General features: G+C 38.2%; 1 long non-coding RNA gene across 2 annotated transcripts in view, besides 1 other annotated feature; it reads right to left on the bottom strand.

Moving 5' to 3' along the window:
• LINC02932 (long intergenic non-protein coding RNA 2932) overlaps nt 1-15,891 on the bottom strand; it is a 204,101-nt gene that overhangs the window by 101,806 nt on the left and 86,404 nt on the right. The gene's annotated exons all lie outside the window — the stretch shown is intronic.
• Nucleotides 14,774-15,364: an enhancer, noted in NCBI's record as "NANOG hESC enhancer chr7:91027571-91028161 (GRCh37/hg19 assembly coordinates)". NCBI's record gives its function as "activates a minimal SCP1, AML or CMV promoter by ChIP-STARR-seq in naive H9 embryonic stem cells {active_cell/tissue: H9 hESC(naive)}" and the evidence as "EXISTENCE:reporter gene assay evidence [ECO:0000049][PMID:30033119]".

Here is a 15,891-nt window from a genome sequence, read left to right as displayed (position 1 = left end):
TGTTGAACCTGTGCATTCACTCTCCTTTGTGGTTGTGTACTTTTACAGTTAAATCCTGGGCTTGATTTTTAGCATGGTCTTCTCTGTGGTTCCATGAAATGGATCGGGATCATAATCCCAAAAGACACAATCTTGAAATAAATGTCATAATCTCAAATTTTGAAATCCCTAAAGATCAAAATCCCTAACATCTAAAATCTTAAAAATTACAATCCCAAAACATTAAAATTCTGAATGTTGAAGTCCTGAAAGCCAGATTCTAGGGAAGGGATTAGAGCATTTTTGGTTGTATGCAGGATAGTTACATCATGTTAGTTGCATCATGTTAGGCAGAACTATTACCTTTTGTGTCTTTATTTGCATTTGGGGAAAAATTCACACAAGTGATTGGCCACATGATATGGCAACAACGAAAACTTCAGCTCCAAAGTGCATCACTTTCCTGCATTGACATTCCTTTCATCTATGACTTTCCAGGAGCTTTTAATAAAAGTCACATTTGCCTGAAGAAGCTAGGGAAGTTACTAACTGGTTCAAAAATAATTATGTTCATGGTAGGATAAGAAGACACTTATGCAACAGTGTTGCTGTTTGATCACCAGTTCTTTCACCGAATTTGCGGTCTGAATATGAGTGTATTCAGAATGGAATTTTGAGTACCCAAAACAGCATAGAATAATGGCACAGAAGATGGGAAAATTTAACAGGGAACGTTCATGTTGATGTACAGCTAATCATATAGAAGAATTTCAAAAATAGCAGGTCCATGTAGAAAAAGAATGTGAACATTTCTCCAAGGAGAATACTGCCCTAAAAAAAAAAAAAGGGAAACAAAGCAGCTATTCATCATGATGCAAGAATTCAAAATATAGTTCCTGATCATAAAAGTTTGTCAGCTCTTATGGACTACCTCTGTGCAATTGCCCATAATCTAAACATCTAAAATCTTAAAAATTACAATCCCAAAACATTAAAATTCTGAATGTTGAAGTCCTGAAAGCCAGATTTCCCTGTAATGCACTTTTTTATATATCAGAATTTTCTGGTTTGGGGGGAGTCTTTTTTTCTTTTCTTTTCTTTTTAGTTTTTTTAAACTAGTTTAAATTGTCAGCATTTTTTTTACAATCAGCATTTTTTTTTTACCATTCTCTATGCTACATATTTCATTTTCTCATCATTTTCAATACTGGAGATATAAATTGTGTAGAGACTTTAGAGTTCTAATTCATTTTATGCGTTTTTGACACAAAAAAATGAAAGTGCCTTATCACAATGCTGACTTTGTGTGAAAGCATTGTAGGTCTACATAAAAACATCGAAACTTCCTCAATAAATGAAGAGATACCCTTTTAGCGTATCTATGCTTGTGAAAAATAAAATTTCTCAAGATCTCAGCTCTTCGGGTGACTGCATATGCAGTGGGTGACCCACTGTGGTTTTTGATTGATCTCATCAAAAGATTTAGATTATCTGTCACAGTATTTCAGATGACTGCAGATATAAATCTGGTTGCACGCACTTACTGATCATAGTGATATGTGTTCATACATTTCCCTTTTTGACCTAGTTCTTAATGAATATGGTTCATCTGCTTATAACTGTTACACCTATGTAACATTAGTATAGCTGAGTGTTTGTGCTTACAAAAATATTTGTTATTTTTACCTATTCTATTCTATTCTATTGTGTGAAATAATCTATGAAATGTTCTGTAATGTTTTTATATGTCTCTCAAATAAATCTCCTTTCAACAATGCAAATACATATCTTTTAAAGAATTTTTAATTATTTTTTCCAGAATTATGTTTTTGAGATTTTGCTCTTACAGGATTTCAACGTTCAGGATTATGGCATTTAGGATTGTGTCTTTCTGGATTTCGATCGGCTTCCGATGAGATGACAGTTTCCATTGCAGCTGCCATAGAGGATCTCTGACTTTCATAGCATGGCTTGACTTGACTGTCGACTTCTCTGGGTCTTTTTTAAAAAATTTTCCAAGACTTCCAGTGTAGTTAACAGCAGTCATCTCCTTTCTATAATTATCATTTTATCCATGCTTTTAACCATGATGGCCCCTCCATTTGCCACCTGCACCTCAACCCAATTAACCACGGGTGAAAGTCTTAGTTATAATGCTACTACATGCTAGTATTATCCCTACTACACCTCCCCAGCAATGGGACCTTTATAACCCAGGTACAAAATACCTTCCTGAGGAGCTGCTTTCTGAAGTCATTCGGCATTAATTGTCTTAGTCTTGCCTCCCCAGAAAGCAGAGCCTGAACCAAAGATTTACATTGTACTACCTTATTAGGGCATATAACCCAGAATGAGGAATACGGATTACAAAAGCAGCAAAGAGTGAAAGAAAATGCAAGAATGCTGATCAAGCTAGTTGTTGCTAAGCTCAACTTACTGCTTGATGTTGCAAGACCATCCTCTGAGAAGACCTATAACTGCTTCTCAGGGCAGTCTCTCTAGCGGGAGAAAGGGAAAATAAATTAATCCACGGGCTCCTGCCTCCCATGGGTCAAATTTTCATCTCATGGGGATGCTAACTCCCTTGCACGTTCAGGTATTTGCATGGGTACCTAACAGAGTCCTGTGGTGCTCTAAACTTCTGTATTACCATAGAAGTTTTTGGAGTAAGATGCAAAGTCAGGGCATTTAGTACATCACTGTCAGGGTGAATTTTATCAGAACCTGTGCACAACTGTCACCACAGCAGTGGCTGGAGTTAGAAGCAGGTAGTACAGAAAGGATCCTAAGTGATGCATGTCAGGGGTTTGATAAAGATCTTTCCAGCTTCTGAGGTAAGAAATCACTTGGCATTACTCTCTATTTCTATATTACCTGAACAAACAAATGAACTGCTAAAGAAAAATTAACTGAAGGCTAAAGCCTCATCCTCTCACCCAGTATTCCCTCCAAAAATAATTCATTTATGGAGTATGTTATATTTTATATCTCATTTTATTTTCATATAAACCTTCCCAGGCGGGCAGAGCAGGTACTGTTAGACCCATATGAAGAAAATGAAAACTCACAGTGGCTGCAAAATATAGTTACTATAGCAGGTAAGCAGCAGATCTGGAGATATAATCTAATAGATTTACTCAAAAAGTATGCACCATGCAGCTAATTTATCTTTTCTCTCCTTCTAGAAATTCTGATTTTCATGACTTTCACTTTCATCAACAAGCTACCATAAGATGATCCATACATCAAAATGAGTCTGGAATCTTGGGCTCTAAAATAAGTTGAACTTTAAATGTTTTCTGTGGTATTCTATCTTTGATTTTTTTTCTCCTCAAATTATTTGTTTGTGTTTGCTTGTTTCTTTTGAGGGCAGAAGGGACTTCAGTGGGGGTAACGATTGAGGATGGCCCACGCAAGATGGTGACGTGCATCAAACATATCTATATGGCAGCCAGTCCTGTTCTGATTATTGCAGATATGACTCTGGCCTTCTTCAAGAAAAGGACCATACCATCTATTCCTCTAATTTCCTTAGCCTCCCAGTAGTTACTTAGACACAACAGCTGCTCCAAATAACTTTGTTGAAGGAATACACAAAAATCCCCTTTCCTCAAAACATGTAAGAGTGCATTCTTCTCTCTTTCCTCAGAGGTAAGACTAGCTTTGCAGGCCTATGTCTTATAAAATGTCCTTTGGCAAATTAAGCAATTTTCAAACGAGTAGAGTCATCTCAGACATTAGGAGGACAATTAGGGAGGACTTTATACAAAATAATAATTATAAAATACTTTGTGGGTTTCATGACATCTCAAGCCTCTTTTCAAAATATGTAGTACACACATGATGGTACCAGGCAGCTAAGGAAATATAAAGATTCAACTGTCTTTTTTTTCTAACAGCTCTGATAGTTTTGTGACAACACTAAAAGATTCCTCTGAAGGAAACATGTAATGTACCTCTGGGCTTGGGAGCATGAGCCTGGTGTTGCTAGCCAGTTTTTCTCTAGGTGACTTATACCATTTCTGTGATGTTTGTCGCCTTTGTGGTTAATGAGCCCCAGGAGTGGAAGCTGCTAAACACACTTACCCAACAATTAACCTGCACTGCGCCGCTGCTTCTACTGCAGCAGTCAGCACCAGGCAGGGGGAAACAGGAGTCTTGGCTTGTTCCTAAGGATTAAGTCACAATGAGCCACTGGTTTCACCAGAACCTCTGTTGCTGTTTTCACTTTCTTGGTAGATATTTTTCTTCAGCCACTGAGAACACTCAACATTCATGGAAACTGTTGTATTTTCCCTAATCTATTCTGAGTTTTTGAAACCTTTACTAAGAGTTCCAAACCAATGCAAGGTGTACTGGTATAGGTTGGTGGTTAAAGTGATGGGATCAGGAGTCTGACTGCCTGGGTCCAAATTCTGCTTCTGCCATTTACTACTTGTGTGACAATGAGCTTGTGACTTACCCTCTCCAAGCCTGTAAAATGCAGATAAGAGTAGCATGTAACTGCGAGAAATAAGTAGAATGCATACAGGTAAAACACTTAGCCTAACACCTGGAATGTAGTAAGTGCTTAATCAAAAGGAGCTGTTACTATTAGCCACTGTAAGCTGGAATGACTGCTTGAAGCCTACAGTGACTGTATTTGGGAAAGGGTCCACAAGGAACAGTGTTTGTTGTGATTTGGTTATAAGAATAGCACATTCCTGGAATTGCTTTGAAATTCTCAGGTCTTATATATCTTTTCTTCATGTGAAAAGGGAGGTCAGCATTCCTTTAAGACCCGCAGGAACTATGTGTCACAAGTCACAGAGGGGATTTAAGTTTCCTCAAAGGATCAGCCTGTCTTTTGTGTAAGTACTAGACTCTAGCTAAGAAACTTTATTCCGATTAGCCCACCCTCTCTCCACATGGAATTGGCACTATATGCAATCCAATCACTTTAGGTTCTCCCCACATTGCGAATTACTTTCTCAAAGAGGAGAGCAACAAGAGGACAAGATCAATGTTGCTCAACAGAGTGGTCTTTAGTAACACGCTGTAGTAACACTGTTACTAAAGCAGCCTTGTTTAAAGGGAGTTCACATTTTGAGCCAACCAAACCATTTCTTTATTTTGGCTGCATCTCTCCTTCAGTCCATTTGTATGACCACTGAATCAAACCCATGACAATCTGGGATGTTGAAAATATGTGCAAGTATGGATTTATACATAAACACTCAAATAAAAATACTTGTAGATATGTATGAACATGTATGGTGCATATGCATATATAATATATATACCTTTTATATAGAGAGAGGATTGGTCTTATAGCTTCCTTGCAGCAAGTTCTTATCTACTCTTTGGTCTAGTAATTAAACAATTAAGTGTCATTTATGATAATTACACATTACAACAAAGTGGTAAATAGGCATTAGCTCACTTGAGAAATATGTTCTATTTTAGAGCCAGTGCAATGTAGTAGCCAAAGTCAGCAAAGCATTAGTTCTTGGAACATGGCTTAGTGTTAGCATCCTTGTAGATGAGGATGCTCTAGTTACTACACCAGAAACGGGAAAGGCCCACAATCAATCTTAACCAGTGGGGAACAATGGCTCCCTCTGGAATTTTATCACCACTAGGCTAGTTCCACTTGTAAGTGGCTCAGATGCTAATTCCTGTGCTAGCTCTTGTGGATTAAGAGGGGGTGGTGTACATTTGTCCAACACTTGCTCACACATACACACACACACACACACACATTAGAAAGGATTCTTCTTTTTTTGAAAACTCTGTCATGTGGAATATCAAAATTCCTGGGGTTAGAGAAAGGAAACTCCTTACTTTTCTTGTCTGCTCATCCTACATGGAGCTTAAGGATGCCTAATGAATCTCAGCTTTGGAGCTTAGGGCTCTTGAGAAAAGAGGAAGTAAGGAGACTTGAAGTGGCCACACTCTAGGCTACCTGGCTTAGCCAGGTCTTTATCTGCCATATGATGTTCCAGCCCTTCCTGCAGCTTGTAACTGATCCAGGCTGGAGACCCCAATAAACATGAGCAGGCCTAGCCTTCCGTACAGGACAGGAGAGGTATTAGAAGGATTGAAAAAAATCTCAACAAGACCGTACCCTTAATGCGAAGCTAGAAACAGAAACTTCACAATCCTCCCTTTAAAGGGAAAAATCATTGAAAGCCTCTAGAAAAACAATACTACTTGGAGAAGACGGTCAGTATACTAGCAGTATAGCTGCTGCTGCTGTTGTTATTGATAACAATAACAATCCAATAATAATAGCTCTGCTTTATTGAGCCCTTACAAAGTTCCAGTTACTACAGTTTGACTTTAAATCACATACTCTTAAGAGCTATAAGATATTGCCCCTGTAACCTTACTGTGTATTGGTTTACTAAGTCTCTTACTGACTATCTACAAGATCTTAAGGAAATGGATATGGGATACACAATTTGGCTAAGAATGTTGATGATCTGGCAAGTTATAGTTTCAGTAAAGGAGGTAGGATGACATTAGTGAGACGAACTCCTTAGGAAGGTCAGACACTGGTCAGATGGTATTATACAATGAGGTTGCTCTGGGCTAATCTGGGACATAAAATGATTAGGGGGTAGCTGAGAAGTAAGAAGTGGAGATGAAAAATCTCCCCCACAAAAAAGAAATAAAATCTTCTGAGACAGAAATTACTTGGATTGCAGCTTTGCCTTCTACAAGTATTGAGGTTTGATCTGAACCTGAAGCCCTAACCCTGGACTGGCTGAGAAGAAAGATGCTGGGATAACAATCCTTCTATTAATTTTAGTCATTTTAATAATCATGGGTATGATTATTTTATAAAACAACTACATAAGTAAATCAGGGCAAATATTCTAGGAATGAAAGTGCTCCCTTAAGGGAATCTGCAAAGTCGTTGTCACAGAGAGCCATGGTTACTGGTGAACTTGTGTTCTATCTCTTTGTTGTATTTAGGGTAGAAAAAAGGCTCGAGGAAAACTTGGGGGTGGTATTTTGGAGATGCAGAATTCTTAAATATGAGATTTACTCACTAAAAAAACCATTATTTATTCTTCTCAAGGTGGTTGTATCAAGCTACCATAATCCTGTGAGTTTGAAAACAACCATCACGAACACTGACAGACAGAATTTACCAGACGGTAAATCTATCATGATCATGGTGGATAAGCTTTTTGATGTGCTGCTGGATTCGGTTTGCCAGTATTTTATTGAGGATTTTTGCATCGATGTTCATCAGGGATATTGGTCTAAAAGTCTCTTTTTTTGTTGTGTCTCTGCCAGGCTTTGGTATCAGGATGATGCTGGCCTCAAAAAATGAGTTATGGAGGATTCCCTCTTTTTCTATTGATTGGAATATGCAGCCATAAAAAGGATGAGTTCATGTCCTTTGTAGGGACATGGATGAAGCTTTTTCTATTGATTGGAATAGTTTCAGAAGGAATGGTACCAGCTACTCCTTGTACCTCTGGTAGAATTCGGCTGTGAATCTGTCTGGTCATGGATTTTTTTTGGCTGGTAGGCTATTAATTATTGCCTCAATTTCAGAGCCTGTTACTGGATAACTAGGATTCTTAAAATGCCTTCCTGGAGCCAAAAGATACCACAAATCAACTATGAAATTATAAGATTGAAACACATATACACTCTCCTTTTTTAAAGCTTGTGTTATATAAAAGGATATGGTTGGACCATTTGTTTTTCAATAAAAAATTCCCACCAACATTCAGAAAGAACTTAAAGCTTACCAGTTGGACAAGGGAGAAGGAGAAGGGGTAATTGATGATGGTATAGATAAATGTGAAGGGAGACAAGCCCTGACACAAGCTCGGAGCCCCATGCTAACAGACCCACTGGTGCTAAAACAAGGTCCTACCCCTTTTGGATCAAGTCACGCCAATGGAGTATTCAGTTGCTCTATTCTCTGTTTAAATCCAAAGTAATTAAGTTAGGTATTTTTTTAAGTTCTGATTTTAATGTCTAACTGACATTTTTATTGTGATATCACATTTCATGCTTCACAATGGTTTGGGGAAATTAATGTTTGGCCTAGTTGGTAGATTGCCAATTTCAGGCAGGTCTGAAAGGATGGTGGCCACTGTGCTTCCCTTTAATTCTATCCAATACCAAAGATATCATGTGGAGACAGTGATTTAACATGATCCTAGTCTCAACCATGGTGCACGATTTCCCTCAGCAGAATCAAGTGAGAAGGCTATGGGGTAGTTTGCAAGAGCCCTGAGCTCATCGCTTCATGTCACAGATGGGCCTCAGTTTCCTCATTCATGAAGTGAGACAGGAATGGCTTCCTTTGGTCCTTTTCCAGCTCTGTGATTTTCATCACAGTCAGCAGTTTTTAAAACACAAAGTACTTAAAAATGATTATAGTGAATTCCCCTGAATCTCTATAGCACCTCTTCTTGAGGAGTTCAAAACATAATTTTTAATTCTTTTCTGCCAGGTAAAAAGACATTTCAACTAGTGAAAGTGTGAGCCAGTAAATTATTCCATATGATAGAGAATAAGAGAGGGTGGTAAGATCAAAATTCTAAGTAACTCAGTGTTAGTCCTGAGCTAAACTGAATTAGGAAAAGTCCATCTCTGGCCTCTATTCAAATCTTGTATCCTGATTGTTCCTTGTCTTCTGTAGAAAGGTTATTGTTCTCTGTTATAGCAGTGACTTTTTAAAACCCTCCCAAGGACACTGTATTGGAATAAAGGATTCTAGAAAGAAAAAAAAAATCATTCTCAAAAGGTGCAATCATAAGAAAGGTATTTGGAGTACAGTCTGGTCTGTTAACACTGCTATCATAGTCTGCCTTCATGTACCAAATTATCTTCATGAAAAAATAATTTTTAAAGAAAATTATTGAAAATAAACAGAATCTAGAATCCAAAATTCTCTCCTTCTCTCCCTGAAACAGCCTCCTGGATTGGCAACTCTCTTTTCTCAGAAACCACCATGATAAAGAAATAGGTGCTGTACCAAGGCCTTTATACCTTCTCATATGTTTTTTGCCCCTATCTCTTAAAATTCTTCTGTGGTTTTCTGATTATCTCTAACTTGCTACTTCTCCAAGGAGGTGCTATGTCCAATGGTAGCTTAAGATACACTTGACTAGTGGTGCAAATGTTATTAATTTCATTAATCTACTTCTAACAGCCTTTTCTATGTATGAAGGGAGCATGAAAGCTCCAGGAGATAAACTACAAATAGCCCCACAATAGTAGCAGGATGGCCTTTCAAAAGAAGGCATCAAAGAAAGCTCACCAACAGTGATACTTTTTCCTAATGGTTCTGGGAGGATAATTAGGTTGTTTATCACCTTTGATGCTTATAACCCTAACACAGGTGTTCCCTGGAAACCAATTAAAAATACTTACAGCTGATAAACAGTGCCTTTCAGCTCAACAAATTTACTAATAATTCCAATCCCATTTGGAAAAGAATCTTGTAAGGTCTTTTGACACCAAAAGGCAACTTTCATACTCATTTACACTTCAGTGCCCATAGTGATAAGCATACACAGGGTATTTACTCAGCCTCCCTTGATCTCAATAGAAGAGTCCTCCAGAAGCTTCCCCTGGTAGTTGAATGACAACTTTGGTTTCAAGGTATGAATTGTGCTCTATAGTTTCGGATTTCCTTTAAAAGGAAATGGACTAGGATCTTTCTGATGATACTTTTGCCTAATTGTGAGGAAATAGTAGTGCTTAAGTCTATTTCCCTCATTTTGTAACTTTCAGTGGACACCCAGTTGATTATTTTTAGTACTCATGGAAGAAGGAAGAAGGAAGAAGGTCCTTGTGAAAATCCCAGGTAGCTTATGTGTCAGACTCAGAAGGTGGACTTTTATTTGGTTTGTTCTAAACCCTGTTGTTTGCTTATATGCTGATCAATTGTCCAAACAAGGCCCCAATACTGGCCCCATCCACATGCTGGCACCTGTCTATAGTAGGCTTTTTCAACCTGGTCAAAAGTTGAAATCATTCCCCTTGAAAACTGGAGCAAGACAAGGGTGCCCACTTTCACCACTTCTATTCAACATAGTACCGGAAGTCCTAACCAGAGCAATCAGACAAGAGAAAGAAATAAAGGGCATCCATATAGGTAAACAGGAAGTCAAACTGTCACTGTTGATTGATGATATGATCGTATACCTAGAATACCCTAAAGACTCATCTAAAAAGCTCCTAGAACTGATAAATGAATTCAGTAAAGTTTCAGGATACAAAATCAATGTACACAAATTAGTAGCACTGCTATACACCAACAATGACTAAGCTGAGAATCAAATAAAGAACTAAATTCCTTTTGTAACTGCAAAAAGTAAAAAAGACTTAAGAAAGTATCTAAATAGGAGGTGAAAGATCTCTACAAAGAAAACTACAAAACACTGCTGAAAGAAATTATGGATGACACAAACAAATGGAAACATACCCCATGCTCGTGGATGGGTAGAATTAACATTGTGAAAATGACCATACTACCAAAAACAATCTACAAATTTAATGCAATTCCCATCAAAGTACCATCAACATTCTTCATAGAACTAGAAAAAACAATCCTAAAATTCATATGGAACCAAAAAAAGAGTCTGCATAGCCAAAGCAAGACTAAGCAAAAAAACAAAACAAAACAATCTCTGTAGGCATCACATTACCTGACTTCAAACTATACTACAAGGCTACAGTTACCAAAACAGCATGATACTGGTATAAAAATAGGCATTTAGACCAATGGAACAGAATAAAGAACCCAGAAATACAGCCAAATACTCATAGCCAACTGATCTTCAACAAAGCAAACAAAAACATAAAGTGGGGGAAAGGACACCCTATTCAATAAATAGTGCTGGAATAAGTGGCAAGCCACATGTAGAAGAATGAAGCTGGCTCCTCATTTCTCACCTTATACAAAAATCAACTCAAGATAAATAAAAGACTTAAGTCTAAAACCTGAAACCATAAAAATTTTAGAAGATAACATCAGTAAAACTCTTGTTGAATTGGCTTAGGCAAAGAGTTCATGAGAAGAAAACCCAAAAGCAAATGCCACAAAAACAAATATCAATAGATGGGACTTAACTAAACTATAAAGCTTATGCACAGCAAAAGAAATAATCAGCAGAGTAAACAGACAACCCACAGGGAAGGAGAAAATCTTCACAAATTATGCATTTGACAAAGGACTAATATCCAGAATCTACAAGGAACTGAAGCAAGTCAGCAAGGAAAAAACAAATAATCCCATCAAAAAGTGGGCAAAGGACATCAATAGACAATTCTTAAAAGAAGATATACAAATGGCCAACAAACATGAAAAGATGCTCAACATCACTATCAGGGAAATGCATATAAAAACCACAATGTGATACCACCTTACTCCTGCAAGAATGGCCATAATAAAAAAAATTAAAAAAAAAACAGATGTTGACATGGATGTGGTGCAAAGGCAACACTTTTACACTGCTGGTGGGAATGTAAACTAGTACAACCACTGTGGAAAACAGTATGGATATTTTAAAAAGAACTCAAAGTAGAACTACTGTTTGATCCAGAAATCCCACTACTGGATATCTACCCAGAGAAAAGAAGTCATTACATGAAAAAGGACACTTGCACAAGCATGTTTATAGCAGCAAAATTCACAATTGCAAAAATATGGAACCAGTCTAAATGCCCATCAACCAACAAGTAAAGAAAATGTGGTATATACACCATGGAATACTACTCAGCCATAAAAAGGAATGAAATAATGGCATTTGCAGCAACTCAGATGGAGTTGGAGACCATTATTCTAGGTGAAGTAACTCAGGAATGGAAAAAAACAAACATCGTATGTACTCACCTGTAAGCAGGAACTAAGCTATGAGGACGCAAAGGCATAAGAATGATATAATGGACTTTGGGGACTCTGGGGGAAGGCTTGGAGCGGGGTGAGGGATAAAAACTACACATTGGGTACAGTGTATGTTGCTCGGGTGATGGGTGCACCAAAATCTCAGAAATCACCACTTAAGAACTTTTCCGTGCAACCACTTTTCCATGTTCCCCAAAAACTATTGAAATACAATTTTAAAAATTAAAAAAAATTTAAAAATTTTTTCATTGACAAAGTTATTGATTATTGAGTTTGAAGGCTTATTCCTAGCTCTGCCACTAAATAGCTGTGCAACTTTGGTCGGTCTCTTCTCTCTGGGCCCTCATTTTCTTATTTGTGGGGAGAGAATTAGACGAGATGATATGTGAAGGACCGTTTGACCCTAAATTTTATATGATGGTTTTGGCAGATGACAGATGGCTGATTCTTTCTTTCTTTCTTTCTTTCTTTCTTTCTTTCTTTCTTTCTTTCTTTCTTTCTTTCTTTCTTTCTCTCTTTCTTTCTTTCTTTCTTTCTTCTTCCTTTTCTTTCTTGGCTGATTTTCTTTTTCTTTCTTTCTTTCTTGGCTGATTTTCTTTCTTTCTTTCTTTCCTTTCTTTCTTTTTCTTTCTTTCTTTCTTCTTTGTCTTTCTTTCTTTCTTTTTTCAAGACAGAGTCTCTCAGCTCACTGCAACCTCCACCTCCCAGGTTCAAGTGATTCTCCTGTCTCAGCCTCCTGAGTAGCTGGGACTACAGGCGCCCGCCACCATGCCCGCGTAATTTTTGTATTTTTAGTAGAGACGGGGTTTCACCATGTTGGCCAGGATGGTCTCCATCTCTTGACCTCGGGATCCACCTGCCTCAGACTCCCAAAGTGCTGGGATTACAGGCGTGAGCCACCACGCCTGGCCAGATGGCTGATTTTCATATGCAGTGTTATTTCTCACTACCTCACTATTTGAGCCTCATTATTTCATAATTAGTTTCTCATCTAGCCCTCTCAATATAGTTGTATGGTTGCATTTAAGAAACCAATTCCTGGCCAGTGTTGCTGCAGCTGAGAGATCAAGACAGTAGCAGGGGTAAAACTGAAAAGAGAGATTGGGGGCCCCTAAGAAACCAATGAAGAATTTTCAACAGGGGAAAAATAATCACATTACCTCTAAATGTAGAGAACAGATTGGAAGGAGATCTGAGTCAATGAATATAGCTTTTTTAGTTAAGAAGCTATTGTAGTGTCTAGTGAGAGGTAACACTTTTTTGTACTAGGTGACTATGGAGATACAGAGAAATGAATAGATTCAAGAACTATTTGGGAAATGAGATTTACAGGTGCCCAGGATGACCATTAGTTTTCTGGTTTGTGCCTTTAGATGCATGAAGGTGTCATTCAATGAGATGTGAAACAACAGAAGACAACCGGGGTTAGGGTGAGCAGAGGATGTCTTAAATTCAGTCTTAGACAATTGAGTTTATTTGCCGATGACTCCAAAATCTTTGGGCTGGATAAACAAATTTTGGGAATCATCAGCAAATAAATGGTCATTGAAGCCATGGGCATAGATGATATTACCCCAGGGAGAGAACATAGAATGAAGAAAGAATAGGCCTCAACTAACTCTAAGTGTTGTTTTTGTTTCTTTTTTTTAAAATACATGGTCTTGCTCTGTCACCCAGGCTGGAGTGCAGTGATATGATCATAGCTCACTGTAGCCTCAAACTCCTGGGCTCAAGCAATCCTCCTGATTTAGCCTCTGGTATAGCTAGGACTACAGGTGCATGCCACCATACCTGGCTATTTTTAAGAATTTTTTTGTGGATATAGGGGTCTCACTATGTTACCCAGGCTGATCTCATACTCCTGGTACTGGTATTACAGATGTGAGCCACCAAGCCTGGCCTAACTCCAAATGTTAATGGCCAGGTAGAGAAGGACAAATTAACAAGGGAGTGATTATAGAGTTAAGAGGAAAACCAGGAGAGTGCATTGCCAGTGAAACAGGGGGTTTATTTCATGAAGTGGGAAGTGGTTTATAACATCACATCTTGAGAGATTAGATGGGGGTTAAAAAAAGTCCAAGTGATTTAACAAAAGGAGGTAATTGGTGACCTTATCCAGAGCTGTTTTGGTGGAATGATAAAAGCAGAGCCAGAATGGAGTAAGGAGAGACGGAATTGAGAGATGAAGTCATAGTGACAGTGAATGGTAAGAACTCTTAAAAAAATCTGATTCTGAAGTGGGAGGGAGAAATAAAGGAGTAGAGCTAGAGAGGTTGTGGTGTTAAGTGACAATTATTTTAAAATAAGAGAAACTCAGGATTTATTCAAAAATATTAATTAAACCTTAATGTCATGCTACACCCTGTTTTAGGCAGTGGAGATGTGACAGAGAATTTTGAAAGCTCCTGCTCCCATGGGCCCTACATTATAGTGGGAGGTGGAGAGACACAGACAGTATGCAAACATATAAATGTATGCTATGCCCAGTGTTGATCATGTATGAAGACAAATAAAGGTGATAGAAACTGTTGCAGAAAATAGTACTATTTTCTGCAGTGGGTTGTCAAGAAAGATCTCTCTAGTGTGTGGTTGCCATATTTAGCAAATAAAGATACAGGATGCCCAATTTAATTTGAATATCAGATAAACAGCAAATACTTTTTCAGTATAAATATATCCCATGCAATGTTTGGGACATACATATATTAAAACAAGCCTACTCTGTTGGAATGACATTTTCAGTATTTAATGTCAGAGAGAAGACTACAATTTATAGGACTCAGTTGAATATAGAAGAGAAAAGGGAGGTTGCATTTGACAGTGGTATAAAGCCCCTGAGAAGTCATGAAGGGATGGGCTGCAAAGTCCAGATGGAGGGGTTTACCTTAGCTAGCAGAAGGAAGATGCCTGTAGATGGACAATGGTTTGTAAGCATGGCGGCCGGAAGATGAAGGATTCCTGGGTGATATGTCAATGTTCTTTGCCAATAGGTTGCAAAGACAGGGGCCAAATGGGAGAGGTGGTTTGGAGGTTGGAGAGAATGGAGGTGTAAAGGAGGAAGAGCATGGGTTGCCCTGACAGGTTGAGTGCTCTAAGGTCATGAATGAAGTTGATTATTCATAGTTCCATTGTCACTGCAGAGTGCCCTGAAGGGAGATGGGAAAAAGCTCCATCTACTCCCTCGCCTGTCTCTACCCCATGCCTATCTGTGGCTCCTGTAGTGCTAGAGGTTGCTACATCCTTATTCTCAGCAGCTTTGCCTCAGGGGGTTGGTGAACAGACGCTTCTGCAGAGAATTGGGCCCATTAAGCATTTAGCTATTTTACTTTGGTTGGAAACATTGTTGACACTGTAGAAGCTGCTTTAATAGCCCTTCTTTGGTAAGGAGATGAATTCAAAGATAACATCAAAAGAGCCATTTATGAAGCATCTAATTTTGACAAAGCTCCATCTATACAGCCTGAAGTAAAGTGGAGATCTGTCAATTAACCCAATAATTTGAACCATATCGACAGCGAATATGAATAGATAACAGTGAACTTGACTTTTTGGGTTTTGGCTTTCGACTCTGTGGTGTTAAGGTTTCTGGCCTTTACGCACTACTTCAATATAGCATCTTTTCTTATTTTTGTTGCACACATTGAATTCAGAAAAGAGGCAAATCATTTTGAACAAGTTAAAATATATTTTATTCATTAACACTCCACATTTCATAATCATTGCATTCTTAACAAGCATCATAATTGCTTTACATTATTTCATTTATATGCAGAACATTTTTATGACATGTGCCTTCAAGTTTCAGAAACAGAAGACTAAATACAGATCTGCTTTACAGAGGGAGAGTAACCACATGAGTGTAACTTTCTTTCCTGTGAAGATTAGCTCAGTGGGCCATTATCACAGTGCTCTATCCAATGCAAAATCAACAGCTCAGCAAGCAGCAGCATTTAGTGACATTTCCCTTGCATGGGTGAACGTTTAAGTGCAATGAGATCAGCGTTCAACAGGACAACAGAGACAAAAGTCAACAAGAGGGGTATAAA

The sequence above is a fragment of the Homo sapiens genome, chromosome 7 (assembly GCF_000001405.40).
Source record: "Homo sapiens chromosome 7, GRCh38.p14 Primary Assembly".
NCBI lineage: Eukaryota > Metazoa > Chordata > Mammalia > Primates > Hominidae > Homo > Homo sapiens.
The sequence above is the reverse complement of the archived record's forward strand: the minus strand, read 5'-3'. Positions and strand labels throughout refer to the sequence as shown.